We start from the raw sequence: 26,597 nt of genomic DNA, 5'->3' as shown, positions 1-26,597 counted from the left end.
TCAACAGAGGAGAAAAGACAGAGAGGAGGCCCCAGAATGGGCAAGTGTCTGCAGGAGGATGCAGCCACAAGCTCCCAAACCTGCTGGACGAAGTGGGCAATCAGCAGCACGTGCAGAGGGCGGACACTCCCGTGGTCTCACGCAAGGGCTGAGCATGCAGTGTCGCTGCTGTCCCGGCCAGGCCTGGCACCCAAGGGTTTCTGGGGGCTTCCAGGGCCGGAAAGGGACCTGCGCTCTCCCACTCAGGGCGTGGCAGGGTTTCCGGGGGCTTCCAGGGCCGGACGTGATGGGGGAGCGCTGCAGGGGTTTGGGCTTCTCCATCTCGGCGAGGAGGGTGTGGACGCCCGCCCGGGAGAGCAAGCGCAGCCTCGCCACGCTGAACCAGGGGCTGCCCTCTCCCAAAATAACTCCAGGCCAGGCTCGGTGGCTCACACCTGTAATCCCAGCACTTTGGGAGGCCAAGGCAGGCGGATCACCTGAGGTCAGGAGTTCGAGACCAGCCTGGCCAACATGGTGAAACCCCATCTCTACTAAAAACACAAAAATTAGCCAGGTGTGGTGGCGGGCGCCTGTAATTCCAGCTACTCCAGAGGCTGAGATGTGAGAATCGCTTGAACCCGGGAGGTAGAGGTTGCAGTGAGCCAAGATTACACCACTGCAGTCCACCCTGGGCGACAGAGCGAGACTCTGTCTCAAAAAAAGAAAAAAAGTAACTCGAAAGTCACTCAAACTAAATGCTGTCAATTCACTTACGCCCCAGCCAGGCAACTGTGAAAAGGTGGGGAAGCAGGAGGGGGCGGGGCGGGGGCAGTGCTCTCTAAAAACCAGAGGAGTCACACTCAGCCCCTTCCTGGGTTCTCATCCCACATGAAAGAAGCAACAGGGATGCAGGGATGAGGCCTCACGGTGCTTTGGGCAAGAAGGACAGCCGGCCGAAGTCAGAATGAAGTTTGCACGCACAGATGTGCTGTTCTAACTTGGGATAAATGTGGATCTCGTGAATCCCGAGAGCCCTTGGCGCTCTGGCTTTGCTTTGGAAAACAGTGTCCCCTGCCAGACCACCCTGGGGAGGATGGGGGTCACCACAGGCCCCCAGGGATGTTTCCTTTCTGCTGCCCAAGTCCAGAGACCAAAGGCCCCGAACCTCCCCCTGAGGAGCCGGGGAGGCTGGACGACGAGAGGGACCCTCTGACTCCAGACACAGGACCCCACCTTGTGCAAGTCTGCAGCCCAGCTCCACACCTCACAGGGCAGCCCACGGGAGGTAGCTGTGCAGTGTTCATGCAGGAGGGTGTGGGTGAGTGGGGTTGTGACCCCTGCCGTGACGGTTTTCAGAGGCCTTGGGCCACCCGAGGGTGAGGCAGGGGGTCCACCTCCATGCACACCTCTTGGGGGACAGTTGCAGGGACCCCAGGGACCCGCTGACTCTGTGTCAGCACCAGGGTCCTCCAGGGGAGCCCAGTCTGGGGCTCTGACAGGCGTGTCCAGGGAGACAGGTGGACGCGGTCACACTGCACTCACAGCACACACACACACACGGCCGGGGCTCCAACAGGCGTGTCCGGGGAGACGGGCGGACGCGGTCACACTGCACTCAGCACACACATGGCTGGGGCTCTGCGCAGCCCAAGACTGGTGTGAGGAAGGAGGCGGTGGGTGGTGCTGCCCACCCATTGGCTCACAGGCCCAGCAGCACCGATGGAGAGGCCGCGATGCCACAAGTCAGACCCACCCCGTCCTCATGAGACTGACTGGCCCCCGAGCCCGGGGCATCTGAGAAACCTCCTGCGAATGGCTACAGAGGAAATTTTCAGGTGCGAGAGATCTGAAGAAAGTTCTGGAACCCGCGCCTGGACCGGTTTGGACCCTCAGTGGAAACACATCAAAGAGAAGGAAAACCAGCTGGGGAAGGATCCTGGCAGCGGTGGCTCAGGTCTGGGAGAAAGAGGCGCGGGCGAGGCAGTGCCTGAGCAATGGAAACCGACGGGCAGGAGGCGGGAAGGGGCTGCGCCACGGGCCTCCCAGGGTCCCCACGCCACTGCACACCTAGGACTGAGGGAGGGTCAGTGGGGGCCAAGGGCTGCCCCGGAAGGGAGCCGGTTTTCAGGAGCTTCCAAGCTGAAGGGCAGAAGCCACCAGGACCTGGCCCAGCGCTCTGGTCCAGGGTCAGGTCACACCTCTGACCAGGGATTGGAGGCTGCAAATTGGAGGCACCACTGGCCGAGTGCTCGCGAGTTCTCCACTGGTCAGGTGGGCCGCAGGGGCCTTGGGGGAGCGCCTTGGCACTGTGGGAGGTGACCACGCAGGCTCAGGCACGGCTGCCCTGGGGGTCATCCTCTGTGGGGCACCTTGGGGCAGGTGTCTGTATCCCGGGAACCCTCGCCCAGAGACCCACGGCTAACCCACAGCAGAGCTGCGCTCCAGGCGTGTTTACCTGCGCCACACACCTCCTCACCTGGCTCTCCGCCCTGCAGAGAGGGCCTCCCACTGCTCCCCAGCAGAGCCCTGAGCCTGCCTGTGCCCTGGGCCTGCCAACACCACCAGGGCCCACCACAGAGGCACAGGAAGCCTGGGTTTGCTCCTGAATTGCCGTGACTGCCACCTCCTCCACCTGAGAAGGTGTCCCTGTGTCACTGTGGATGGCGGACCGGGCACTGCGGGAGGTGGGGTGGCCTGCCAGGGTCCCGACATGAGGCCTCCTTAAGCCCTACCCTCCCCCCAGCACCAGTGCCCGGGACCCTCTGCAGGGACTGTTTCCACCAGGGCCCCGCAGCACTGCCCAGCACCCTGGCCCGGCTCCGTCTGCAGGACCTGCTGGCAGGACAGGCCCCTGTCTGTGCATCAGAATTCACTGGGAGGCAGCTGCTCCTACAGCCTCAGATTCCAAATCCAAATGCCCAACAGGAGGGCCCTGGGCGAGCAGCTGAGTGCGTCAGGCCTCTGCCCCCAGGACACTGCAGAACCCTGCTCCAAGAGGGTCTTAAACTGGCCAGTAAGGGCTCCAACTCAGAACCACGGAGTCTGCAGGACGGAACTGCCTCCACCCGGTATGGGCAATGCACTCAGGGAGAAAACCAAGCTATCCTCCAAACACTGGGGAGCTCTGGCCGGCCTCCTCTGTTAATATTTGACTCAAGCCTGAGGTACCTAATTCAGCATTAACTGGAGTCACTCAATGGCCATGAGCCCCTTGGTTCCGCAGTAACTCAGGTGGGGGTGGGGACAACCTGGGCTGACCCCGAGGAGGCTGGGATTCAAGAGAGGCCGACCTCCAGATCCACTCATATGACCCTTGGAGCCGGGCCCTCCGGGGGGCGGGGGGCGGGGGGCGGGCGCCCAGCTGTGTGTGGACACAGCTTTGGGAGGGTCCTGCTGCCGTCCGAGGTGCTTGTGGAGCTCCACGCCTTTCTCTCTGCAAATCACTGAATACAGCAGCAAGGAAAGGGAAACTGTGGAAGCTCGGGGAATGTACCCCAGCACAGCAAGGGCAGCTGGCCAACGCTCAGGAAGTGGACCAGCCAACACTCAGGGACCAGACCGGCCAACACGCGGGAACTGGACCAGCTAACCCTCAAGAACCATGTCACCATGGAACATAAGCCATGGTTTCCAACTCCCTTAAGCTCCAGGACACCATTTCCAAGCTTGATTTGCCCTATGGAGAAGGAGAAGTGGTCAAAAGTGGGGACATTAAAACCACTTCGGCCGGGTGCGGTGGCTCACACCTATAATCCCAACACTCTGGGAAGGAGATGCGGGCAGATCACCTGAGGTCGGGAGTTAGAGACCAGCCTGACCAACATGGAGAAACCTTGTCTCTACTAAAAATACAAAAAATTAGCTGGGCAAAAATACAAAAAAATTAGCTGGACATGGTGGTGCATGCCTGTAATCCCAGCTACTCGGGAGGCTGAGGCAGGAGAATCTCTCAAACCCAGGAGATGGAGGTTGCAGTGACCAGAGATCATGCCATTGCACTCCAGCCTGGGCAACAAGAGTGAAACTCCATCTCAAAAAAAAAAAAGCCACTTGGACCTTCCTGACACCACCCACCAGGTGGTCTCCCAAAGAACAGGCCCCTCCACCCAGGAGGCCCACAGCCCCGCCTCACCCAGTGGCCTGACCTGGGGCCGCTACCTCCCCTTTCCTTGGCAGGGTGCTGGGCGGAGGCCCCGTTTTTCACCAACCGACGGCTGGGAGAGCCCGTGCCACCCACTGTGCCCTGAGACCCGCACAGGACGGCGACTCACAGATGCCTTTTGCTGCCCTGCCCGGGTCCTGGCACGGCGCGAGGTGCGTCAGGCCAGGCAGCCACGCAAAGGCCCCGGCTCCTGGCTTCTGCCATCTATTCTGTCCTGCAACTCTATCCTGGAGCCTCCCATCCCTTCAAAAGCTGCAGGAAGAGGTGAGACCCTCAGTGCCCACAGGCGAGGCCCCGCCATCGCACTCCAAATGCCTGCCCACCAAGCCCAGGGCCTCCTGCCCCTCTACAGACAGAGCCCACCAAACCCAGGGCCTCCTGCCCCTCTACAGACAGAGAGCAAGCGGGTGTGCCAGGGTCCCTGAGCCAAGTCCAGGTGCTCAGACTTTGCTGAGATTAAACCTCACAGTGAGCCTGTGTGTGCCTGCATGTGTGTGTGTGTGTGTGAGCCCATGTGTGTGAGCCATGTGTATGTGAACCTGTATGTGTGAGCCTGTGTGTGTGAACGTGTGTGTGTGAGAGCTTGTGTGAGCTGTGTATATGTGAACCTGTGTGTGCGTGAGCCTGTGTGTCTGTGAACCTGTGTGTGTGACAGCCATGTGTGCGTATCGGCCCGAGCGTGTGTCTGTGTGAGTGTGTTGGCATGGAATGGGGTGAAGATGGCACCACACCACAGGCAGGAATGGAGGGTTGCAAGCTGAGAGGCCGCACATATGACACAGGTCACAGTCACAGTGCTCAGGAATTCCAGAGGGGTGCAACTGGCCCTGGGGGACCCCGGGCTGTGTCCTGTCACAGGGCCCTGAGCCTCAGGTGCTGAGGTGTTCAAAGGTTCTCTCCACTCGGTGGTCCACCTGGCTGCCTACTGCCTGGGAGGTGGCAGGAATGAGGGTCTCTGTGCCAGGCAGGCACGGCAAGTACCCGGCCAACCCTGAAACAGTGTGAGCTTCCTTCCTGGCAACCTGCCAGCCACCTGACCCGCTCCACACCTTCCAGGCCTGCAGGCAAGAGAAGAGGACTGCAGGAGTGAGCAATTTAAGAAATGGAAGGCCGAGGTTTTCCAATCTAATTAACAGCATGACAAGCCAGGATGGGCTGCTGACCCGCGTGGAGCCTTGCACAGCCAGAAACGCGGTGTCCTGCTCCGCTCCTGAGACGCCAGGGCTGTCACTGCAACACAGCCCCCAACACTTCCACACGGGCGGACTCTGGCTCTCCAGGCACCGCAGTGCCCTCTCCTTCCCTTCCCAGCTCTCCTGAGGCCTGTGGTTCTGGGAGTCTCTGCCCCGTGCAAGCGTGACCGTGGCCCTCCTCCCATGTCCAGCCGCACCAGGCCCTGGGATCCCAGATCTGGCTTCACCTTTGCAAGGGGCTCAAAGCAAGCACCTATGGGGGTGGGGGCGGCAAAGCCGTCTGGCCAAGGTCCCTTCTCTAGAGTGCCTGTCTGTCCGTCTGTCCTTGAGGAGCCTGAGGAGTGCAGGGCAGGACAGGCAGGCACCAGCTGACCCGGTACCGGGCAGGGACCAGTGCAGGACCTCGAGGCAGGGCTGGGTGGGGTGGGGGTGGCCAGAGTCTCCTGGCTCGGAGCAGACACGGGTGAGTGGCACAGACTGTCCTCACACCCTCCTGGGACAGAGGTAGGAATCCGTGACCAGGACAGACACAGGCAGGACTGGGAGAGGCAGAGCAGGTGCCTGAGCTTGGCCACGCACAGCTTCCAATGAGGTTGGGCCATCCACAGCTCCCCAAGGTTCCCCGCCACTGTTCACCCCACCCCAGCACAGCCGAGAGCTGTGGTTTCTCCTCCCATGGAGTCCTGCATGGCTGCCCACTGCAGGCCCAGCCCAAGGGCACCGCCTTCTCCAGGCTGCCTTCCCTGCACATGCCACACCTCCAGCCCCAGAAGGTTCTGAGGAGGGGAGGAGCTGGGGCCCCCACTCGCCCTCCTGTTGCCAGGATACAGGCCCAGGAAAAAATGCCACAGTGCTGGATTAATGTCTAGACAACGTGACCTTTCCCCTGGTTCTCTAGATATAATTGGGACCCAAATTGTCCGGTGTCATGAGCTGACAGCAGGGATGAAGGAGGGGTCTGTTCTCGGTGCCCCGAGGGGACTCCGGGAGAGGGAGAGGGCAGCCCACTACCTGCGTGGGGGCTGCAGGGGGACGAGCCAGGGTCGCCCACAAAGGCGCTTTCTGTGGAGGGGACGTCACCTCTTCCATCAGCGATGACGCAGCTCTGAGATCACAGTGTCCTCGCAGTGGCTCCCGTTAACTCCCTGCTGCCCGTCCTGCCAGGCTGGTGCCACGAGACCCTCGGGGCTGGGCCGTGGGACAGGTGCCTGCCCAGCCCTGCAAACACATCCAGCAGGTGTCGAGGGCTGCCAAGCACAGACTTCTGCTGCCAGCCATGCACAGTGCCAGCTGCGACAGCAACGCCTCTGCCAGGAGACTCGGAGGAGACCGGCCCTGACGCTCCTGTCGGGGGGAGCTGCTGCACACTCAGGCAGGATGCAGGGGTCCTGAGGGGGACCCTCGGCTCACCCACGGCTCCCGTGGCCGGTCTGGTCCTGGTATTTATCTCAACTTCATTGTTGTCCAGAAGCTGCTTTTTATTATTTGTGACCATGAAAGGATGGAAACAAATTCCTGTTTTGAGTCAAAGCTACCTGCGTCCACCGGGCCACAGAGCGGGGACACGGCCGTAATGTGGAGTCAGTAAGCCAAGGTTGTGAGAAGATTCTCAGGAGGGGGGTCCAGGGAGGGAGAACTGAGGGCTGGGGTTCCGGGGGACATTTTACTTTTTATTCCAGGCAGCGCTGTACTGGCTGGGGCCTCAAATGCTGAATAATGCTCCTGTTGGACTTCAGTAATTTTAAAAAATAAAACTGTTTAAAAATCATGAACATTTCACAATGCAACCAAGTGGCCCCAGGTCCTCCCCTAAGCATGGTGCCCATCCGTGGCTTTGAGGAGGGTCCTTCAGCGCCAGCCAGGCTTCCTGGCATTTACACCCAAAACGCCTGATAAATCTGCTGAGGGAAACACTGTACCTGGCAGGACATAAAGTCCAGGCCACTTTGCAGCCCAGCTCCCACCCCAGGGCCCGAACAGTGATGGGCGGCCTCAGAGAGCACCCAGTGGCCCCAGGAAGCCAGACCCAAGCCTTTGGAGCCAGCCTGGCCTTGGCGATCCTGCGAGCGTGTCACTACATGACATTAAGTGTCACCACACACGGCATCGTGTCACCACACACGGCATCGCGCATCACTACACACAGCATCATGTAACTACACGGCATTGCGTCACTACACGGCATCACGTCACTACCCGGCATCACGTCACTACACGGAACTGCATGTCACCACACACGGCATCACGTCACTACACGGAACTGCACGTCACCACACACGGCATCGCCTTACTACACGGAATCACGTCACTACATGGAATTGCATGTCACTACACACGGCATCGTGTGTCAGGGCCCAGCTCCAGAGCCTCTGGCAAGGGCTGGCCAACTTCTGCTCAGCACTTTGGCATCCCTGACCCGCCACTGACACTGGGGACCCTGGTCCTCGCGTCCATCCTTTACTGAAGACAGGGAAGAGCTGACCTGCAGCCCTGATGCCCCCAGACTGAGGCGGTGAAGACTATGGCACTGTCTGCCCCATGGAGGGGTTGCTTCTCCATCTCCCTGCCTGCAAGCCGTCCGGGGGGTCTGGCTGGTTCCACATGACACAAGCCCCTCTAGAGGGTGTGTATTGGCCATCACGCCTCGCAGGGCCGCAGGCACAGGAGGTCGGGGTGGGAGGGACCCGGGAACCCAACGCTAAAGCAGAGACAGCCTTGGAGGCCCCTGAGGAGGTGCCGCTGCCCTGAGACCCCAGGAAGTGACGTGAGGTGGCTGGGAGGCCCCTGAGGAGGTGCCGCTTCCCTGAGACCCCAGGAAGAGATGTGAGCCAAGGAGGGCGGGCTGTGGACACGGTGGGGTCAGCAGGTGCACGAGGCGGGCTGTGCAGAGCAGGTGGGAACCGCCGGTGAGCACCCCGAGGCTCAGCAAGGAGGCAGCCTCTGCAGTGATCGCAGCAGACAAGTGACCGGGCAAGCGCCGCCCCAGAGCCAGCCCGGGAATTCATCTAAACACCCGGCAGCTGTTCCCAGGCCACCAGCTCCTGCCACAAAGCAAGGGAAACCACCAAGAAGGGACGGCTGCCTTGACGTGGGAAGAATGAGCCCAGCACTGAGCTGCCCTGCCAGAGACATCCCTCCCCAGCTCGGGGACCCTCAGCGATGCTGGCGGGCAGGCGTGGGAAGGGCACGCCCACCCTACCACTTCGGCAGCCGGGGGCCGGGATGCAGACCCCTCTGCCCCCACCAGGGATGAGCACCCGGCCAGCTCCGCTCAGCGCTGTCCTCAATCTGCAGATGCAGCCCACAAAGAGCTCGGAGTCAGAGCCGGCTCCCCTGGAAGGGAAGGGTCTTGTCACTGCACATCTAGACAGCAGGCCCTGGCCGTCCAGCCCCACGCCAGGCGCCCCCACTCACAGCCAGCGCTCCGGGGGCGGCACACGTTAACGAACAGGCACCTGCCCTTCTCGGTTCCTGCGGCAGCAGGACTGGCCATGCCAAGGCCACCTCCCAGGAAAGACGTGTCTGGGGAGATGGAAGAGGCCGGAGACACAGAGTGCTGCCAGCTGCGCTGTGGGTGGGGCCTGGGGAAGGAGGTTGGAGGCCAGAACCCCCTTTTCTCTCTTCCCTACGGTGCAATTCTCCCCACCCTTAGCGTTTTCCACAGAGCAGCACCTCCTTCACCACTTCATGGGAGTGGCACCCAGGATGGAGGGCCCAGCTCTGCCCAGACCACAGTGGCTACAACAACGGATGCAGAGGATTTGGGCCAAACCACATCCCCCGGCCGAGAGCGGTCACCCCACAGTCCGTTGTTATTAACAGGCCTGGTGCACAGGTCCTGGATGTGCTGAAAAGCCCATCAGGGAGCTGGAGGGAGCAGAAGTTGGCACACAGAATGCCAGAGAGACCGCGGTCCTAGAAATGCCACAGAGAGGGCAGCTGGGCCAGGCAGGGCGGGGGCACCCGTGAGACCCTCGAGTCGGAAGAGGACACCTGAGGACACTGAGCAAGCCACAGACCGCAGGACAGGGAACCTGCAGGTGAAAGGGCCCCAAGCCCCGGGGAACCCAGGGATCCCTGCACAGCAGGCAGGCACGTTCGGGGGCCAATCCAGAGACTACAGTGGAACAGCCCACAAGCACAGAGAAGCAAGCGCCAGAAGGAGGTAAGGCAAGCCGGTGCCATTCGTATCCATTAAGAGGCTAAGAATCCCACAAGGCCCTGACAAGCCAGGAGGTGAGTCCACGTGAAATACAAAAACCAGCAGGGTCTGGCAGTGAGGGTAGGAGCTGCTCCTGGGGAATCTGGGCGGGCTCTCCGGGATCCCAGCACCACCTTTGGGAAGATCATTTCCCAAAACACACATTATCTAAACAGCAACCCGCCACAACCAAAAGCAACCAAGAACACCGACAGTCAGAAAAGCCCTTTAACAAAAATAACTTAGGGAACTAGAATTATTTCTGCTGAAAACAGAAGGGTAAAGATCAAATTAGCTGCTTCCAAATATCTGAAAACTCACGGAACAAGAAAACATACCTGACACTGAAAGCACTGTCACTCTCTCGAGAGCAAGACCAGCTTGCAATTCAGACGAGGAAATGCAGAACGAGGATATGCAGAACGAGCATATGCAGAACGAGGGAAGGGAAGAGTTGTCAGGGGCAGGCGCTGGGGCTGGGGATAAAAGACCCAGGCAAAGTGAGCTGTGCTGCTTCCAATCAAGTGGGAGAGTAGAGGCTGCACCTCTGGAGTTCAACTAGAAACTGTGTGCTAGTCAGCATGCAGCTCCAATCTGACTAATATTTAGCACCTGCTGAGCCTAAGCTGGAATCTAAGAGATGCCGGGTGACCAGGTCACAGAGGACGGACCGCGGTCCAGGAGAGCACACTGTCCTCAGAGGAAATCTAAGAGATGCTGGGTGACCAGGTCACAGAGGACGGACCGAGGCCCAGGAGAGCACACTGTCCTCAGGTTCAACACCTAGGGGCCTGGATTTCTGAATCCAAGCAAACACCGCCCTGCCCCGGCCACCCCCACACCAGTGCGGAGCCTCGCGGTCCCCACACCACCCCCAGTTCACAAAGGACACCAGGCGTGGGGAGACTGTGCCCCGGCCACCCCCACACCGGCCCCAGTTCACAAAGGACACTGGGCATGGCAAGACTGTGTGTGCTGCCCCAGTCTCCTGGCCAGAAAGTGGGCTGCAGGACAGAGATCCAGGCTGGCCGGCCCTACTGCTCCTGACCAAGATGGACCTCAGAGAAGGTCCCCATTCCCCAAGAATAGGTTTAAAAAGCCGGGTCTAGGGAGCCACGATCCAGATGCCAATGAGAGGCGTGATTCACAGGTTTCACGGGCCCCACAGGAAGGGCCGGTGTGGCCACGTTCCCAACTCAGCTGGGTCAGGGTCACAGAGGCATACCTGCCCGGTGTTGCTGGGCAGTCCGGATAACAGAAGGGGTCTGGCTGTGTGTTCTGGATAATTGAAAGGCCCGGCGAGGCATTCCAGATAGCCGAGGGCCCACGCAGTGTTCTGGATAAGCGGGGGCCCACACTCTCCCGGCCCCCGGCAAGTACCCTCAGGGCTGAGGGCCTGCTTGGCACGTGCCTGGTCAGCTTTTCTTTATGAAAACCCCCAACACACCATGCCCGCCTGGCTGCGTGAGCACCACCTGGGGCTCCACCCGGCTGCAGCGCCAGGCACTGGGCTGGATGGCACTTTCCGGGAGTGCTTCTGCGCCTTTGCCTCATTCTCCAAAAGTAGAGCTCGCACCTCTCTGAAGGCCAGGCAAGGCGTGAACCCCAGGCCCCCAGCCAGGGTCTGATCAATGGCACCGCCTGCACTTTCCCGTCCGGGGCCTGCCCCGGCCGCCTGCCGCACCCCCGCTCTCAACTCCACACCACGCTGGTTCCCACCTGCATCCATCTTCCGGAAGGGGGGCTCCATTCACAGCCCCGCTCCGCCGCCCCTGCGCATGGTCCTGCCCCTCCTCCTGCCCCACCCGTGGCAGCCGGTCCTGAGCTCTGAGCCCTGGGTGTCCAGCTCCTGGCTGCTGCCCTGGGCCTGTTGGGAGGTCATCCTGGGGACCTGAAGACCAGAGGTTCCATTGAGTCAGGAGATTCCGAAGGCCGAGGACTCATCTTTAAGTCTCCACAAAGCCTGCAGCCTGGGGTGGCCCTGGGTGTGCAGGAAGTGCTCGTATTCTGACCCCCAGCAGCCTTGAGGGTCCTGCTGAAGCCGGCACACATCCAAGACTTCCTGCCCCACAGAGTGGCCCTTCGCAGGTGAGAGGCCCTTATTCCCATGGTCACTAATGCCACCCCTTCGGTGAACCAACACCACGCCGCACTGTCACCTCTGGCTGCTGGGACAAGTCAGTCAGTGTCTTAAAGCAACACAGGCATCCCTCAGAGCTCAGGAGACTGGAAGTCAGAAGTCACGGTGCCCGCAGGGGTCCTCTGGAGGCTCCAGGGGGAACCCACTTCCTGGTCTTCTCATGCCCTCCCCAGCGGCTCCATCTCCATCATCCCCTCCTCTCCCTGTCCTGCCCCTTCTCTATAAGGACCCTCGTAATGACGTGGGGCCCACCTGATAATCCAGGGTCATCTGCACCTGATCCTGAGCCTCATCCCACACACAGGCCATACTCACGGGTCCCACAGGCCGGGGTGGTCAGCTCGGGGTCAGTATTCGGCCTTCTATGCGTGTGATCGGAAGTGGAAGCATAAATGAGGGTTTTGGGTTTTGTTTCTTAGGTTCGGGGACATTAGTGTCCATCTGTCTGCCCTCTCACTGGCGGGCAGGGCTGTTTTCTGGTCTGGGAGGCTGGCTGTCCGTGAGGCCCTCAGGCCACATGCCCGGAGCATGGCCATCAGCAGGGGCCAGGCCTGGGGCAGAGTCGGCCGCAGGGTCCGAGCCTTGTCTGCAGGAGGCCGCCCAGGTCTGTTAAAATGCCAGACGTCCCCTGTGATGACAGGAAAGGCTGAATTGGGACAGGTGGTCTTCCTGGTTTCCAAACCTCCCACAACATTCTCAGTCATTTTCACAATAGAAACGTGTGACTAACAACCTGAGTAGGTCGGACTGGAGCCCATTCCTTTGGGGGTGAAGTCTCATTTCAGCTGGAAAACAGGGATGTCCTGCTGCCCCGAGGGGATCAGAGACCCCGCATCAAGATGTGCCCCCGAAAGGGAGACAGGGCTGAGATTTGGGGACCCAAAACAGATGAGAGGTCAGCAGCAACACTGCCTGCCAGGCACAGGCACACCATGGCCTCCTAGCAAGAGGCAGGGCAGCAGCAAAGCCAGGAGAAGGGAGCTGATTGACGGCCAGAGCCACAAGGCTGGGCAGGAGGGCCTGGGGCCAGGCGGTGCATCCAATACAGAAAGGGCCTCCCCCTCCTCCTCCCGATCCTCCTCCTCCACCTCCTCCTGCTCCTCCAAGGGACCAAGGCTCAGAGAGCAGAGATGGTTCAGGTGCACACGGGCTTGGAGAGGGCAAGCTGTTTAGCTGAAATGAGAATTTATACTAGAAGACGCCTCCCAGCTCCATGGACCAGCTCACTCCATAAGGCTCCTGCCCCTGAGGGTCCGCCACCTCCCTCAGCACCCCTCCAATCCCACACCTAGGGAATTTCCTGGGAACCTGCCTTTTAAACCCTCTCCATCCTCTACCCTGCCTCTAGCCTCTGCAAAGGCCCAGGCACAAGTGCTGGGCATGGCTGGCGGGGCCTTTGCTTCCCTCAGTGCCCAGGGACAAGGATGTGCAGGGCTGGCAGAGGGACCCCAAGGTTAGCGTGGACGGGATCCATGGACGCTTCCTTCTTTCTGGCTGGAAGGCTGAGATGATAACAGAAAGGAAGCGGATGTTCTCTGAACTCCTCCTCAGAGGCAGCACATGAGGCTAAACTTTACAAAGCACAGACGCCTCCCTCCGGGAACTGCCTCTTCACAAGAAAGCTCCTCGCTGGGGCAAAAGAGGCCCGGCTTTCTCAGAAGTCTCCTGACAGCCGAGGGGTCGTAGCGGGAGACTTTAGAAAATGTTTGCCGCCCAGTCACAAATCCAGCAAGTGGAGGAGACAGGTGTTCCCTGGGTCCCCGCGACAGGGGCGTTGAAGCCTGTCATGGTGCAGGCGCCCTGGCCTGCGGACACGTAGCGCGGCTGGAGGAGGTGGGAATGGCTGCCCTCTCTAATACACATCTTTCAGTTCAGCAGGCACAGCGCGGGGCTCAGTAAGAAGCAGCACAAAAGCTGTGTCTGCTCACGGGGACCCATTTTACTCACGTTGCAAACCAGTCCCTCCTACGGGGCTCTGCCCTAAGGGTGGGGATGGAGCCCTCTCTCCACTGTGGCGTCCCCCCTAGAGCCTCAGGACCGGCTGGCCTCAGAGGGCTGTCAGCAGGACACACCCCAGGAAGCCGATGTGTGATGTCCCATCCTTCCTGTATGGCCCCATGACGCTCCACCATCCCCAGGCACAGATTAGAGACCAAGACACGGAGAGGGTGAGCAGCCTGCCCGTGGCCACACACACTCAGGGTCACAGCCTGAGCTCTCAGCCATCACACTAGGCGGCATCCCACCCATGAGGGCAAAGAGGACCATAGATGACGGCCAGGCTTCCTGACAGTTTAGCCACTACTGTGAGAAGCATCTCTAATTCCATATCCACAAAGGCAGAGTCAAGACGCTAACAGCTGACAGGTGCCACGTGGCCTCCCCACAGGCACTGAGGCCTCAAGCACCTTCACTTGCAGGACCCTCACGGCCCCTCAGCAGACCTGCACCACAGATGAGCAAAGTGGCAGGGCCAGCTCCATTGTCTGTGTGCCTGGGCCGCAGGCCCCTGAGCTCTGCTGGCCACTCCAGGGTGCCATCTCTAAAGGGACCAGAAAAATGAGGAAAAACAACTCCACACATTAAGAAATATACCCCATGGCTGGGCACAGTGGCACACGCCTGGAATCCCAGCACTTTGGGAGGCCGAGGCAGGTGGACCACCTGAGGTCAGGAGTTTGAGACCAGCCTGGCCAACATGGCAAAACCCCGTCTCTACTTTAAAAAAAAAAAAAAAATTAGCCAGGCGTGGTGGCCCACACCTGTAGTCCCAGCTACTCAGGAGGCTGAGGCAGGAGAATCGCTTGAGCCCGGAAGATGGAGGTTGCAGGGCGCCAAGATCACGCCACTGCACTCCAGCCTGGGCAACAGAGCCAGACTCCATCTCGAAAAAAAAAAAAAAAAGAAATATACCCCCAGTTAAAGAAATATCATACCCCCAGTTAAAGGCTGACCATAAACAATAAAAGTACGCAAAATAGGACATCCAGAGCTGAAAGCATCAACAGACAAAAAGCTACGGGGAAAGAGAATGCACCTGCAGGGCAGTGGGCACGAGCCACAAACCCGGCATTCCCAGAGAAGCACGACGGCCCCTTAGTGCGTGAAAAAGTTCACCCACACGGTGAACGCCACGTTCCCAGAGAAACACGACGGCCCCTTAGTGGATGAAAATGTTTGCCCGCATGGCAATGGGGACTCACAAAACAGAACTCTGAGATGATATTTTCCATCAACCAAATTAGCAAGGTTTTTAAAAGACAGGATCCAGCCTGGCCGTTTGGGCCGCAGAGCTGTGTGTAAATGAACGTCGCCCATCAGAAGCGAGGCCCTCCCCTCTCCTGCAGGTCCCTGACCACAGCCTGCCCCCCCCCCACCCCCCGCCATCAGCCCTGACTCTGGCTGGGGTGACACCCAAGATAAGAGCTGTGAGAAGACGAAGCCCTCGCCTGTGTCAGCGATAAGGGTGCACTGTTCCCTATGACTGCTCACTCACAGCGCCGGGCCCTCCAGAGCCTGTGTCAGCGATAAGGGCACGCTGTTCCCTGTGACTGCTCGTTCACAGCGCCGGGCCCTCCAGACTGTGGGCGTCTGAGGCTTACTCCGGGCCCTTCAGACTGTGGGTGTCCGAGGCTCATTGTGGTGTTTCCTTCTCTTCTCGGGCAGGCACGGCCTCTCGCACACAGAAGGTGCTCAAAAATGCACACAGGAAAAAGGAATCAAAGGCCGGGTGGACCAAGAACAGTGGCTGGGCTATCCCCAAGCAGCTGGCGGGGGCCTCGCCACCCATCAGCCCACAGCCCTGGGCTCTGAGGTTCTCCACTAATGCCAGCCCCCAATCCTGCTGGCCTCTTTAGCCCCAGCATGGAAGAGGTCACAGACACTGGCTCCATGGGGTCACCTGGCATCGGGGAAGGCAGAGCCACTGCAGACGATGTCCTGCCCCTGGATAACACCCTGCACTGGCAGCTGCAGGGCTGGGACTTCGCCACAGGCCCACGGAGTTCCTGGGACACTACCCCTGTCTCTCCCATGCCCCTCCCTGCCACAGGGAGAGGCCAGATGTCCCGCCCAGCTGCAGCGTCCACCTGAATTGAGTGATTCCTCCCAAAACAAAGTCTCCTGTTGTCTAAGTTGAAACATGGAAGGAAGGTCTCTCTCGGTTCCTGAGGCCATAGGGTGTGTGGACTCGGGCCTGCCCAGGTGTGTCCAGACGAGGCCTCCAGAGCAGCCGAATCAGAGGCTCTTCCTGAGCCCTCATGCTCCAGGACCGGAGATGCCAGACGGCGTGAAGCCGCCACCAAGATGGGCTGCCGGCCCAGGAGCTATGTCCAGCCTGGCTTTCCCATCAGCTCACGTCACCCCAAAACAGACAGTGCCTCTCCTGCCCCCAGGAGCAGCTGTGCTGGCAGGTTCTCTGCAGACAGAGGAGTCCGAGCTGCTGAAACTTGACCCTGTCTCACAATCTCTAAGCACAGATTCCAGAGAGGCCTAACTGCGGCAAATGTTGAAGCTGCTCAACGGAACGGTGGGGAAATACAAAAGCATGGACTTCAGACCAAAAATAAATGAGCAAACGAACAAACGGCTGCGGGGGTGGGTGCGAGTTCCGCCACCGTAACCAATCACGCTCCCTCCTCCTGCCGTTCCCACTGGCCTTCCTCCCTGTGGCTCTGGCCCAGTGTCTGTCTGCAGGGGTCCCCGCAGGGTCAGCCCTTGACCCCCCACCAGTGCCCGGCCCCAGCACCAGCGTGTGCCCACTCGCAAGCCTGCTGGCCTTCTGGAAGCCGGCGTGGTGAGAGCCAAACCGCCACCCAGCCTGGTGCTGGTGCCTGCCCTGCCCATCACAAGGCTCCTGTGGGAACGAGGGGCCCACAGGGGATCAGCCCCGAGGTGGCGAGGTGACCCCATCTGCCACCATGAAATGCCAGAAAGTGCCAGAAAGATGCAGGGGCTTGAGAATAATTCCCCTTTCCACGGCTCCTGTGGAAGAAGCCAGAAAGGCCGTGCCGGGGCCTGCCCGCGCCGGAGGAGCTGCGGGGGGAAGGCGTGCTCCTGCAGGCACGGGGCACAGACACTTCCCCTGCAGCCTCCACATTTCATCTGACTCAGCGCATCCGTGATCAAAAGCTCCTCCTGACAGCCCTTCTGCAGAGGCCCAAACTCGCCATCTAAAACGTTACCGCCAGGGCCGGTAAGCACCGCTCCCTCACTCTCTGTGGCCCCGGGCAGCGCCAGGGGACAACACAGATCAGCTCCCTGCCTGGGCTGGCTGTCTCCTCACGTGACACGGGATCTGGCACAAAGATCCAGTGTGTGGTATGTGGCTTTTACACAATTGCCAGCGGCCGCTCACAGAACCCCTAGAGGAAGCAGCCACTCCCGCCCCGGGGTTAAGGAGGGGAAACTGAGGCAGCAAGGCTGGTGACAGCCACTGGCCGTGGAGCAGGGTCTGCGCTCAGGCACCAGATGGCAGGGCTTCACTTGCCTGGCACTCCGCTGCCTTGGACAGGTCCTGGCCTATGACCGCCTGGTGCAGGGCTCTGGCCTGTGACCGCCCAGTGCTGGCCCTGGCAAGGCTCCCAGCAGGCGGGTCTCAGCTGCCCAGTCATTCTGGGCAGGTGCCTGGGCCTTGAAAAGGGCCTTAGACCCCAAACTCCCAGGCCTGGGAGGCCTTGGATAAGAGGAGCACCCAAGCCCAGAGGCCACAGAACACCCCACAGTGCCCCAAACTGCTTTCAGGATCTTCATGGGCCACAGTATTTCAAAATGTACCAAATATCATCATCGTATAAGGGCGCCCAACATGCATTTTAGTTTCCCAGGATTCTGCCCCTGCCCTGCACAGCACCATACGAGGGAATATCTGTCTCAGACCCTGCGCCGTCTGCCACTGGCCAGCCGCTGAAATCTCGCTGTGGGGTTGGGCCTGGCCAGGCCTGTCGTCTTGTTCTCTGACAGGCACCCGCTAACAGACAGCCTGGAGGGTGGCAGCTCTGACTGGCCCTGGCAGGCACTGGGGTGGCCCCTTCTCTGCATGGTCCAGTGCCCCATGCCGGGGGTGGGGTGAGGGCCATGGCCAGCCCCTCCAGACACAGCCACAGCCAGCTTTGTCCCTGCCAGCCTCTGCACCTGACCCCTGAGCACTGGTGGGGAGCCAGTGCCGGCACAAAGGCCCAGTTGGCTGGCACACCCTCCTCTGCAGGCCTGGGGCTGAGAGAGGAAGAGACTTGCTGGAGGTTTCAGGTGTTGCCCCACTCCATCCCCCACAGCTGTGAGGTTCTTTGGATCCCTAGGCTTCACCTGGAGAGTTCCAGGGTGGCCTCGGGTCTCCAACATACGCTCCACAGCCAGACCCAGCCGGGTCTCCTTCCTGAGCAGAAGCAGGCACCCCTCCCCCAACACAGTGAGCGGGGGTGGGAGGGTGTTGTGGGGGCCCCTCTCTCCGAGCTGCCTGCATACTCCCTGCCCCCACACAATCAGCGGGGGCTGGGGAGGGTGTTGTGGGGGCCCCTCTCTCTGGGCTGCCTGCAGGCTGCAGCTTCTACCCCAGCCCAGCCCCTACTGTCTGTTCCCAGCAATCAGGAGCTGCTCCCAGGGCGGTGGTGCTGTTGATCATACCACAGGATCCCCTGGCACTCCCGGGGCCCAAAGAACCCAGCCCCCAGCCTTTTCAACAATCCAGGTGAAGACAGAACAAGGCACTCTGAGGGAGGAAGACTTTGTGTGGATGCAGCATGACTGTGAGAATCACACGCCTGCGGGGGGCATGTGTGTGCACACACATGTGCACTTTTGTGTGTGTGTGCATGTACACAGTTGTGCCCCTGCACTTCGCGTGACTGGGAATGTGCACCTGTGTGCACAATTGTGCATGCCCGTGTATGCATGTGCCTTGCACTTTTAAATGGAGCAGCAGCAGGTGAAGTGGGGCTCTCCTGGACTGGCCCCCAGTGTCTGGCGCCTGCACTCTGGAGCAGGGCAGTTCACTCCTTCTAGGTTTTCCTACAGAGGACTTCCCCTGCTCTGCTTTCATTTACAGGAAAACAGGAGTGCCCTGAAAAACAAGTTTTGCTGAAATTCAAAACTATCTTCCAAAGTCCTTGCATCTGAATCCTGAAGACTCCCCAGTGGGTGAGCCCAGAAACAAGACCACCTTCTACGCGGGAGGGTCTCTCGTTACCTAGGCGCCGTGTGCCCTGGGGTGAGCCACACCCACGGAACCCAGGTCACTGAAGCCCAATCCCTGCAGGGCTTCAGAGGGAGTGGGAAGTGAGGCGCAGGGACCCTGCCTTGTACCCACATCACTGGGCTCTGTGCTGACCACCAGACAGGAGGAGGTCCTAGTGGTGAGCAGGGGCAGGACATGCATCTTCTGGGGGCTGCAGGGAGGCAGGGGTAGAGCTTGATGCCATGGTGGAGTGTAGGAGAGGCTCAGAGACAAGGAGACTCATGAGACCAGGCTCCTGGCGTGGCCATGGGCATCAGCAACTGCCCCGGTGACACAGTCCTCTTCCTCAGCTCCACTCTGACTCTGAAGCACTGACTACAAGCACCTCTTGGGGGTCACGGCTGTTTCGCACACACAAATCCACCAGAGGAGAGATTGCAGGTAAGACTGCGGCACCTCACACAGCTGGGTGGCAACCAAGCGGCCAAGTGACCACTGAGCCCAGGTTCCTGATTACAGGGAAAGGCACAAACACCATTCAAGAACCTCAGCATCACAGCGACCAATCCTGACACAAAAAAGCAAAAGACTTTTCTAGGGATCAAGTGTAGCACAGAGACATGGAAAGATGCATCATTCTTGGCCAGAAAAAAATGTGCAAATCAGCAAACTGGGCCTCAGGCCTTCAACTCTCAAGGGTGCTTTTTAAGTTTTGAGAACAACTGAAACCCTCGCCAGAGTCAGCATTTCAGACACATTAGCTCTTCTCCAATAACCCCTAAAGGGGGCGACTGTTTTCCCATTTCAGGGGGACTTGGTCCTGCAAGGACTGGAACCCGGGCTGCGGGTGGCCTGGAGCCTGAGTTCTCTCCGGGCTGGGGGAGGGGTGTGTGGGCAGCATGCAGACCCCTCTCTGGGCCTGCTTCCGCTTCAGCCTCCTGGCCACCCGCCTTCCACATTCCATTAGACACCTCCAAGGGGCCTTCCTGCCCCAGAGTGCTTGAGGCTGGGGCAGGCCCGGGACAGAAGAGGAACGCACAGCCCATTTGGCCAACCGTAACTTTCCCTGCTGAGGCCTGCACTGACTTTACACCCCACTCTTAGATCTCAAGATTGCATCTCACCAAAGCTCGCGTTAACAGTTTTTGTTTTTTCTATTCAAAGGCAAAAAAACCATCACCTTTTACATCTCCTCCTTGATAACGTTTCATAAGCTCGGGCTTGGGCCCCAGCGTCTTTCCTTTCCTTTGTCCCTGTGCGATTTAAAACATCCCGCCCAGGGAGCCCTGGTCTGGGCCCTGTGGGCGCTGGCGGCCCGGCTCAGAGGGCAGCTCTGCGGCCTGATTAATGGCCCCGAGTGACCCTGGGCCGCTGTGGGGATGGAGCCGCGTGAGCTCACAGCCGCTCTCCGCCCGTGTTTCACCCCCTAGAGTTCACACAGTAAATGAGGAATTGTCTACGACTCAACAAGCAGGTGTTTTCAATACATCTACTTATAAGCTAGCTACTTTTTTGAAAGGTCTATGCTACTATTTAACCTGGTGACTAAGTCGATTGGAAACAATGAAACAAATTATTACAGGAATCCAGACGACATCCCTCCCTCCCCCTTTCCTGCTTCCTCACCCGCTGTAGCAAGCAGGTGTGGAGTCGAGTCGGAGGCAGGCGCTGGCTGCGTGGACCCCCGGGTGGGATTCCACCCGCGACAAGGCACCCAGGCCCTTTGGGCGGGGCTCCCCTGGGGTCCGCGTCCCCGCCGCCTCCCCCGGGCCTCTGCTGGGCTGGCTGGAGGCAGGAGGCCCCGGTTAGCAGGTGGTGGGGAACTGGGTCCCGGGGTTGGAGGCAGGAAGGTCCCCACGGGCCCCGCGCACCGTTTGCCGCGCACGGGAAGCGGCGAGGCCGGCGGGGCAGCGGCTTCTGGGCATTGTTCTCGGACCGCGCGGCGCTCGGTTGGCATCAAAGGGGACCGCGCAACCCGACACCACGGCGGGCGCGGGGACAGAGGCCTGAGGGCGGCGGGGACAGAGGCGCACAAGGCCCGGCCCGCGGCGAGGAGCCTCAACAGGTTGGAAACGCGGAGACGACGCCCCGCGCTCCGCCGCCTTCCGCCCGCGGTCAGTCCCGGGACCCGGCGCTGCGGGGACGAGGCCGTGACGGCGACAGAGGCCGCGTCTCCCGAGACCCCGCGGCCCCGCCCCGAGCCCTCCCGGCACCGACGACCCCGCCGGCCGCGGAGGTTCGGTCCCCGCGCGGGGACTCCGGCCGCTCGCACCGCGCACCCCTCCCGGCCCGGACCCCGCGGGGAGAATGAATGGGCGGGACTCCGGCCACCCCGCCCCGCTCCGTCCGGCTCCGGCGCCTCCTGCGCGCGTGGGCAGGGCCGGGGCTGAACCCAGAGCGGCCGGGGCGGGGGTGAGGGAGCCGGGCGGGGACCCCAGCCAGGGCGGCGAGGCCGGCGGGCACCGGCGCGAACCTTCCCGTCCCGCCCGGGTCTTACCTGGCTCCGCGGAGGCCGCGCGGACCCCGAGCAGCAGGACCAGGGGCGCGAGCACGTCCAGGAGGCGCCGCCGCCGCGGCCATGGCCAGGGGCACCTGCGCGGGACAGGCACGGGTCAGACCCCGCAGGACCCCCGCGACCCCCGCAGGACCCGGCCGAGCCCCGCGACCCCCGCGACCCCCGCAGCCGCATCTTGGCGTCCCCCAACCCCTGCCCGCAGCCCCGGCCTCACCTCGGCGCCATGCTCTCCCCAGGACCGTCAGCGCCGCGGGATGCTGCCTCCTCCGCCGCGGTGCACCCGCTCGGACCGCCGCGCTGCAGCCGCCGCCGCTGGGAGGCCGGGCAGGGGGCGGGCAGGGGCCGGGCAGGGGCCGGGCAGGGGGCGGGGCGGGCGCGGGCAGGGGGCGGGCGCGGGGCGGGGCCGGGCAGGGGCCGGGCAGGGGGCGGAGCGACGAGCAGGGCAAGGCCCGGGGAGGGGAGAGGGGGGCGGGCGCCGCAGCGGACCTGCGGCTGCGAGGACGGGGCGGGCCGGGACCCGGGGGCGGCGGGGACGGGCGAGGACGGACGGGGACACGTCCCGCCCCGAGGGAACCGCCCGAGGCTGCGACCCAGCACAGGGCCCGGGGGCTGCCCCGCGAGGAAGCCCAGGTTTATGCGGAAGGTGAACACCGCTGCCCGCCGGGCTACGACCCCAGCCCCTGAGTCCGGTGGGGCAGCGGGAAGGGGGGAGATTTGAATAGAGTCACCGCGGGGGGGACGGGACGGAGGAGGAAGCCGGCACCTCCGGCCCGCAAGGCCCCTGCAGGGTCCTGCCCCGGCTGCACGGAGGGACGGACGCGAGACAGGAGGGGCGTGCGAGGGCCAGATCTGTCCCCAGGTCCCCCTGTTCCCAGGGCGCGGCCCAGCAGAGCCTCTTCCTCCCCAGTTCCCAGGCTCCTCCTCCCTCCCAGGTGAAAACCCTGTTTCTATTTCTTCAGGGCCAGCATCCTGAGCCCCACCTGCAGGCCCTGGGCGCTTTCCTCCTGGCAGCTGTGCCCCCACCCGACCGGACCGCTCCCTGCAACCAGAGAGCCCTCACACCAGCAACACCCCCCAGCCTGCTCCCTCCTCGTGTGCGCGAAACTCATGGCACTGGCTTGACGGCTTTCTCTGAAACCCTCTGATTCCGCCTGGCCCATCCACACTGTCCCTTCCCGGCCAGGGCTCATCTCCTATGCCTGGACCAAACAGCGTAGTCTCCAGTCTCCCTGATCTCCCCACACGTGGCCCCACCCATCCTCTGAAGCAGCCCCAGGAGGCAGCAGTGACTTCACACTTCTAGTGCCCGGCCCTCCCGGCCCTCCTCTCTGGGCTTGCTTGCCAGGGTCCTCCCAACCTGACTGCTGCCTCCCACCTCCTCTCCGCCCCTGGAGCTCTCCAGCCGCAGCCGCGGGGCCTGCTTGGGATTCTCCTCTGCTGGCATCATCCCTGCCTGCCTCAGCCTTCCCAGGCCCAATCCTGCCCGATCTCACCTCTTCCCGCCCAGCCACCTGGTCGGGTCCCGACCAGCATCTGCCTTCAAACCTGGAGTCCTTCCCTGAGTGCTTGCGGTGCACTGTGAGGAAGGAAATCAATGTAAAGGATTATGACCCACATTTTTTAAAAATAAAAAGATTAAGGAGAACAGCATAGAGTAGAAGTGGTCATCGCACACTTCTGCAAAACTTTTGTTTCTCAGGTGGATGGAGGAGTGAGTCTGTGTGTGTCTATCAGGGTTTGGTGGTGTCTCTGCAGTGCAGTGGGTGTGTCTGTGTGTCTGCTGTGTGTGTGTCTGTGACCGTACCTTGTGTGCATGTGTGTGCATGTCTCTCTGTGCTGTGTGTGTGCATGTGTGTGTTTCTGTAACTATGTACAGTGTGTGCATGTGTGTCAGCCTGTGTGCGTGTGAGTGTGTGTCAGGGGTGTTCATGTGTCCTGGGTCCTGGTGGCTTCTCCTCCCGAGGCTCCTGGTCTGTCTGGCCCCTGTCCATTAACCCTGCAGTGCAGGTCTCTTTCACCTCTTCCATCTCACCTGCCCTGGGGCACCACTTCCACCCAACCCAACCCATTCCTAAGTCTTCCGTCAGGGCAGGTGCCTGCTGCCAGGGGAAGCAGGTCTCTGCAGGTGTGGCCTGATGCACTGCCCTGGGGGCCTGTCTGCGGCTCCCAGGAGGGAGGGGCTGGGGCAGGGCGGGTGCCAGCCCACCTGTGGCCTGAGTTGGCCTACCTCTCTCCTGCCCCACTCTCCACCTTTGGGGACTATGGGGGTGTGATCAGTAGGAGACACAGCTACTATGAAACACATGTGACTGCTTACCTGGTAGCTGTACGAACTCTTTTTGCTCATTCGTTTCACTTGGGGCCTTACCTTGGCCTCATGGCTGTGTCCCCATAGGCTCTGTAGCATCCCCTCTTTCTATTAGAGTTGTATTGTTTCCTTTGTAGACACGAGTAATATGTGATAACCACAGAAAAATCAACAGAAAATGCAGAAACACACGTAGAAAATAAGACCAAAAGTCTCTCCATTCGCCTTACCTCCTCCCGGGCCCTTCTGCACAGACGCCTGCAGGTGCTCTGAGGGCAGCGCCCAGCGTCCACATGGAGCTCTGCTCGGCCCTGTTTGTCCCTCCACCAGGGTCCTGGAGGCTCTGTGCCCTCTGGTAGGGGCAGGCTCAAACCAGTGCCCCCAAAGAGACGGACGTGCCAGGTCCCTGGGGGGCCTTGGAGCACAGGTGTGGGGAGCAGGGGAGTGGCCATGGCTCATTGCAGGGACCAGGGGAGGGCTCATGGGCTGTGGAGGAATGGGCTGTGGGGTGCGCAGGGAGGAGAGAGCATCCAGGACCGAGGGCAGCTCCGGCAGAGGTCCTGGGGTGGAGCAGGTGGAGCAGGCTTAGGACCGTGTCTGGGTTCTAAGAAGCGGTAGCAGATTCCTCAAGTCTGGGGCCTGCACCACAGGTGTCTGTCTTGCTTCCTGGGCAGGTGGGGCCTGGGATGGGGTTGATGGGTTTGCAGGGAGAGGTGGTACAGACAGGGAAGGGGCTGCACTCAGGCTCAGAGGAGCTGCCCGGGCCGTGGTTACAACCCGCAGTGCGCAGGAGCCTAGGAATTGTTCAGCTTTTGTGAGAGGCTGCACTCCTCTTGACATAGAGCAGACCTGGCCTCAGCCCTGCCTCCACCTGCACCTGCCAGGGCCCTTTGTGCTCCCTTCTCTGCCGCATCATCCACCCAATCACAGGGTGAGTTGTCTGAAGACACATAGCTCACACAGGACACAACCTCACTGTAAAAACTCCACATGTGACCAGTAAAGCTGGAGTCCCAACCCTGCCTCCTGCCAAACCGAACCCTTATCATCTTCTGTGGGTTTTCCTTCCAGGCTGTTTTACAAAATGCATTTTGTAGATATTTGTTACTCTAGAAATATTATGTTGCTTTGTGGAATTTTAAAAACAAAGCATACATGAGATAATATCCATGGTTTTGAAACTTGCTTTTAAAGCTCAATTTCTGTTCTAGCTCTTTCTATGCCAGGATGAACACATTTACATAAATGATTGAATGAAACTAGCTAAGTCTCCCTAAAATTAATGAGACTTAGCTTATTTGTCAATTCTTCCACCATTCATGAGACTTAGCTTATTTCCATTTCTTTGCTTAAAATAATATGCTGTCTTGAAAAGAGATAGAAACTGTGAGAAAGAACAAAATGAAAATGCTAAAAATGAAAACACAGTAAAAGAGATGAAAAATGGCTTTGAGAAGCTTGTCAGTAAACTTGACTTAGCCAAAGAAATCCATGAATTTGAAAATAGCTCTATAGAAATCATCCAAATGGAAAACCAAAGAGATAAGAGGAAAAACATAGAGCGTGTTTCCGAGGGATTACAATACGATCTCAAGTAGTGTAACATAATACAATTGGAATCACAGATGGTGAGGGGGTGGACAAGGAATATTTGAAGAAATAATGGTCAATAATTTTCCAAAATCAATGACAGACATCAAAGCACAGATTAAAGAAACTCAGACAACATCCATCAGGTAAAACAGCAAAAAAGTAAAACAAACAAAATAGAACAGAAACAAAAAAAAAGCACAGAAACCTGTGCATATTCAAGCAGCTGGGGAAAAAGACATGCAGAAACTCTCTAAAGGAACTGGGAGGAGAAGGGAGGGAGAGGGACACATGAGACGCGAGAAGAACCAAGATAAGAAGCACAGCAGAACTATCTGCAGACACTATGCAAGGTGGATGATGATGGAGGGATGGCTTTCAAGTACTGAAAGGAAAAAAAAGTGCTGATTCAGATTTTTTTTTTTTTTTTTAGACGGAGTCTCGCTCTGTCGGCCGGGCTGGAGTGCAGTGGCGCAATCTCAGCTCACTGCAAGCTCTGCCTCCCGGGTTCATGCCATTCTCATGCCTCAGCCTCCTGAGTAGCTGGGACTACAAGCACCTGCCACCATGCCCAGCTAATTTTTTGTATTTTTAGTAGGGATGGGGTTTCACCATGTTAGCCATGGCAGCCTCAATCTCCTGACTTCATAATCTGCCCACCTCGGCCTCCCAAAGTGCTGGGATTACAGGCGTGAGCTGCCACTCGTGGCCTGATTCAGAATTCTTTACTAGTGAAAATAACTTTTAAAAATTAAGGGGGGAAGGGGGAGGCCAAGAAGCAGGTGTTGGCTATCCGAGCAGGGGCCTAGGATATCCTGTTTCTTCTGCAGTTTGCTGACCTAAGCCAATTCAAGGCACTTTGTCTTGGAATTGGACCACTGTATACATTATTTCCTTCAGACATGAAGAGTAATAGAGTATAGAAATGGAAGAAATAATTAAAAATTGTAATTGCTGCAAATGCCAACTATCTAAAGGGAAAATGGTAGTGTTGTATTGTGTTGATAACATGCTCCAAGGTAAACCATGTGATGATAATTCACAGAGCATGGAAGAAATTGTTGGGAAAATACTGCTGTGGGGTCCTTACACTATACGTGAAGCAGTCTCATACTATCCGAAGGTAAACTTTGATTAATTTAAGACTTAACCCTAGGACAGTGAGTACAATTTTCTAACAGAGGTATAAGTTATAGGACAAGAGGACATAAAATGGAATGATAAAGTAATGCTCAGTTAACCAAGAGAAGGCAGAAAAGCGAGCAAAAGAAGCAAAAAACATGTAACAAATAGAAAACACGTGACAAAATGGTAGCTTAAAATCCAATTGTATCAATA

At 59.4% G+C, this 26,597-nt stretch overlaps 1 protein-coding gene and 3 long non-coding RNA genes across 7 annotated transcripts in view, besides 13 other annotated features; 3 read left to right on the top strand and 1 right to left on the bottom strand.

Moving 5' to 3' along the window:
- The window catches only part of COL18A1 (collagen type XVIII alpha 1 chain), a 108,556-nt gene extending 86,904 nt beyond the window's left edge, over positions 1-21,652 (bottom strand). The window contains exons 1-2 of the mRNA NM_001379500.1: positions 21,576-21,652; positions 21,344-21,438 (exon numbers count right to left, since the gene is read on the bottom strand). Coding sequence (NP_001366429.1) covers positions 21,344-21,438; positions 21,576-21,586 — 106 coding nt within the window. The 5' untranslated portion in view covers positions 21,587-21,652. The remainder of the gene's footprint in view (positions 1-21,343; positions 21,439-21,575) is intronic.
- Positions 1,528-2,126: an enhancer, noted in NCBI's record as "H3K4me1 hESC enhancer chr21:46844606-46845204 (GRCh37/hg19 assembly coordinates)". NCBI's record gives its function as "activates a minimal SCP1, AML or CMV promoter by ChIP-STARR-seq in primed H9 embryonic stem cells {active_cell/tissue: H9 hESC(primed)}" and the evidence as "EXISTENCE:reporter gene assay evidence [ECO:0000049][PMID:30033119]".
- On the top strand, positions 1,747-7,101 carry COL18A1-AS1 (COL18A1 antisense RNA 1). 2 transcript variants are annotated; one of them, NR_027498.1, is made up of 3 exons: positions 1,747-1,933; positions 4,156-4,405; positions 5,198-7,101. It is a non-coding gene; the product is annotated as a COL18A1 antisense RNA 1 (long non-coding RNA). The 2 variants fall into 2 exon arrangements; NR_028082.1 differs by having other exon boundaries at positions 1,777-3,047.
- Positions 1,860-2,069: a silencer, noted in NCBI's record as "fragment chr21:46844663-46844872 (GRCh37/hg19 assembly coordinates)". NCBI's record gives its function as "represses an EF-1alpha promoter that drives an FKBP-Casp9 reporter gene in an ReSE screen in K562 erythroleukemia cells {active_cell/tissue: K562}" and the evidence as "EXISTENCE:reporter gene assay evidence [ECO:0000049][PMID:32094911]".
- Positions 2,127-2,724: an enhancer, noted in NCBI's record as "H3K4me1 hESC enhancer chr21:46844008-46844605 (GRCh37/hg19 assembly coordinates)". NCBI's record gives its function as "activates a minimal SCP1, AML or CMV promoter by ChIP-STARR-seq in primed H9 embryonic stem cells {active_cell/tissue: H9 hESC(primed)}" and the evidence as "EXISTENCE:reporter gene assay evidence [ECO:0000049][PMID:30033119]".
- Positions 4,493-5,247: an enhancer, noted in NCBI's record as "H3K4me1 hESC enhancer chr21:46841485-46842239 (GRCh37/hg19 assembly coordinates)". NCBI's record gives its function as "activates a minimal SCP1, AML or CMV promoter by ChIP-STARR-seq in naive H9 embryonic stem cells {active_cell/tissue: H9 hESC(naive)}" and the evidence as "EXISTENCE:reporter gene assay evidence [ECO:0000049][PMID:30033119]".
- Positions 6,003-6,758: an enhancer, noted in NCBI's record as "H3K4me1 hESC enhancer chr21:46839974-46840729 (GRCh37/hg19 assembly coordinates)". NCBI's record gives its function as "activates a minimal SCP1, AML or CMV promoter by ChIP-STARR-seq in primed H9 embryonic stem cells {active_cell/tissue: H9 hESC(primed)}" and the evidence as "EXISTENCE:reporter gene assay evidence [ECO:0000049][PMID:30033119]".
- Positions 6,759-7,513: an enhancer, noted in NCBI's record as "H3K4me1 hESC enhancer chr21:46839219-46839973 (GRCh37/hg19 assembly coordinates)". NCBI's record gives its function as "activates a minimal SCP1, AML or CMV promoter by ChIP-STARR-seq in naive H9 embryonic stem cells {active_cell/tissue: H9 hESC(naive)}" and the evidence as "EXISTENCE:reporter gene assay evidence [ECO:0000049][PMID:30033119]".
- Positions 7,514-8,268: an enhancer, noted in NCBI's record as "H3K27ac-H3K4me1 hESC enhancer chr21:46838464-46839218 (GRCh37/hg19 assembly coordinates)". NCBI's record gives its function as "activates a minimal SCP1, AML or CMV promoter by ChIP-STARR-seq in naive H9 embryonic stem cells {active_cell/tissue: H9 hESC(naive)}" and the evidence as "EXISTENCE:reporter gene assay evidence [ECO:0000049][PMID:30033119]".
- Positions 11,136-11,759: an enhancer, noted in NCBI's record as "H3K27ac-H3K4me1 hESC enhancer chr21:46834973-46835596 (GRCh37/hg19 assembly coordinates)". NCBI's record gives its function as "activates a minimal SCP1, AML or CMV promoter by ChIP-STARR-seq in naive H9 embryonic stem cells {active_cell/tissue: H9 hESC(naive)}" and the evidence as "EXISTENCE:reporter gene assay evidence [ECO:0000049][PMID:30033119]".
- Positions 11,760-12,383: an enhancer, noted in NCBI's record as "H3K4me1 hESC enhancer chr21:46834349-46834972 (GRCh37/hg19 assembly coordinates)". NCBI's record gives its function as "activates a minimal SCP1, AML or CMV promoter by ChIP-STARR-seq in naive H9 embryonic stem cells {active_cell/tissue: H9 hESC(naive)}" and the evidence as "EXISTENCE:reporter gene assay evidence [ECO:0000049][PMID:30033119]".
- Positions 13,007-13,630: an enhancer, noted in NCBI's record as "H3K27ac-H3K4me1 hESC enhancer chr21:46833102-46833725 (GRCh37/hg19 assembly coordinates)". NCBI's record gives its function as "activates a minimal SCP1, AML or CMV promoter by ChIP-STARR-seq in naive H9 embryonic stem cells {active_cell/tissue: H9 hESC(naive)}" and the evidence as "EXISTENCE:reporter gene assay evidence [ECO:0000049][PMID:30033119]".
- Positions 16,752-19,431, top strand: COL18A1-AS2 (COL18A1 antisense RNA 2). Its single transcript, NR_052004.1, has 4 exons — positions 16,752-16,869; positions 18,254-18,360; positions 18,718-18,809; positions 19,197-19,431. It is a non-coding gene; the product is annotated as a COL18A1 antisense RNA 2 (long non-coding RNA).
- Positions 17,273-18,065: an enhancer, noted in NCBI's record as "H3K27ac-H3K4me1 hESC enhancer chr21:46828667-46829459 (GRCh37/hg19 assembly coordinates)". NCBI's record gives its function as "activates a minimal SCP1, AML or CMV promoter by ChIP-STARR-seq in naive H9 embryonic stem cells {active_cell/tissue: H9 hESC(naive)}" and the evidence as "EXISTENCE:reporter gene assay evidence [ECO:0000049][PMID:30033119]".
- Positions 18,066-18,857: an enhancer, noted in NCBI's record as "H3K27ac-H3K4me1 hESC enhancer chr21:46827875-46828666 (GRCh37/hg19 assembly coordinates)". NCBI's record gives its function as "activates a minimal SCP1, AML or CMV promoter by ChIP-STARR-seq in naive H9 embryonic stem cells {active_cell/tissue: H9 hESC(naive)}" and the evidence as "EXISTENCE:reporter gene assay evidence [ECO:0000049][PMID:30033119]".
- Positions 20,455-23,011, top strand: BNAT1 (breast cancer associated ESR1 regulating natural antisense transcript 1). Of its 3 annotated transcripts, none has more exons than NR_183526.1 (2): positions 20,455-20,650; positions 22,321-23,011. It is a non-coding gene; the product is annotated as a breast cancer associated ESR1 regulating natural antisense transcript 1 (long non-coding RNA). The 3 variants fall into 3 exon arrangements; NR_183527.1 differs by lacking the exon at positions 20,455-20,650 and adding an exon at positions 21,277-21,457; NR_183528.1 differs by lacking the exon at positions 20,455-20,650 and adding an exon at positions 21,832-22,004.
- Positions 21,797-22,497: an enhancer, noted in NCBI's record as "H3K27ac-H3K4me1 hESC enhancer chr21:46824235-46824935 (GRCh37/hg19 assembly coordinates)". NCBI's record gives its function as "activates a minimal SCP1, AML or CMV promoter by ChIP-STARR-seq in primed H9 embryonic stem cells {active_cell/tissue: H9 hESC(primed)}" and the evidence as "EXISTENCE:reporter gene assay evidence [ECO:0000049][PMID:30033119]".

This window comes from Homo sapiens, chromosome 21 (genome assembly GCF_000001405.40).
Source record: "Homo sapiens chromosome 21, GRCh38.p14 Primary Assembly".
Taxonomy (NCBI): domain Eukaryota; kingdom Metazoa; phylum Chordata; class Mammalia; order Primates; family Hominidae; genus Homo; species Homo sapiens.
Note: the sequence above shows the minus strand (reverse complement) of the source record. Positions and strands in the feature narration are given on the sequence as shown.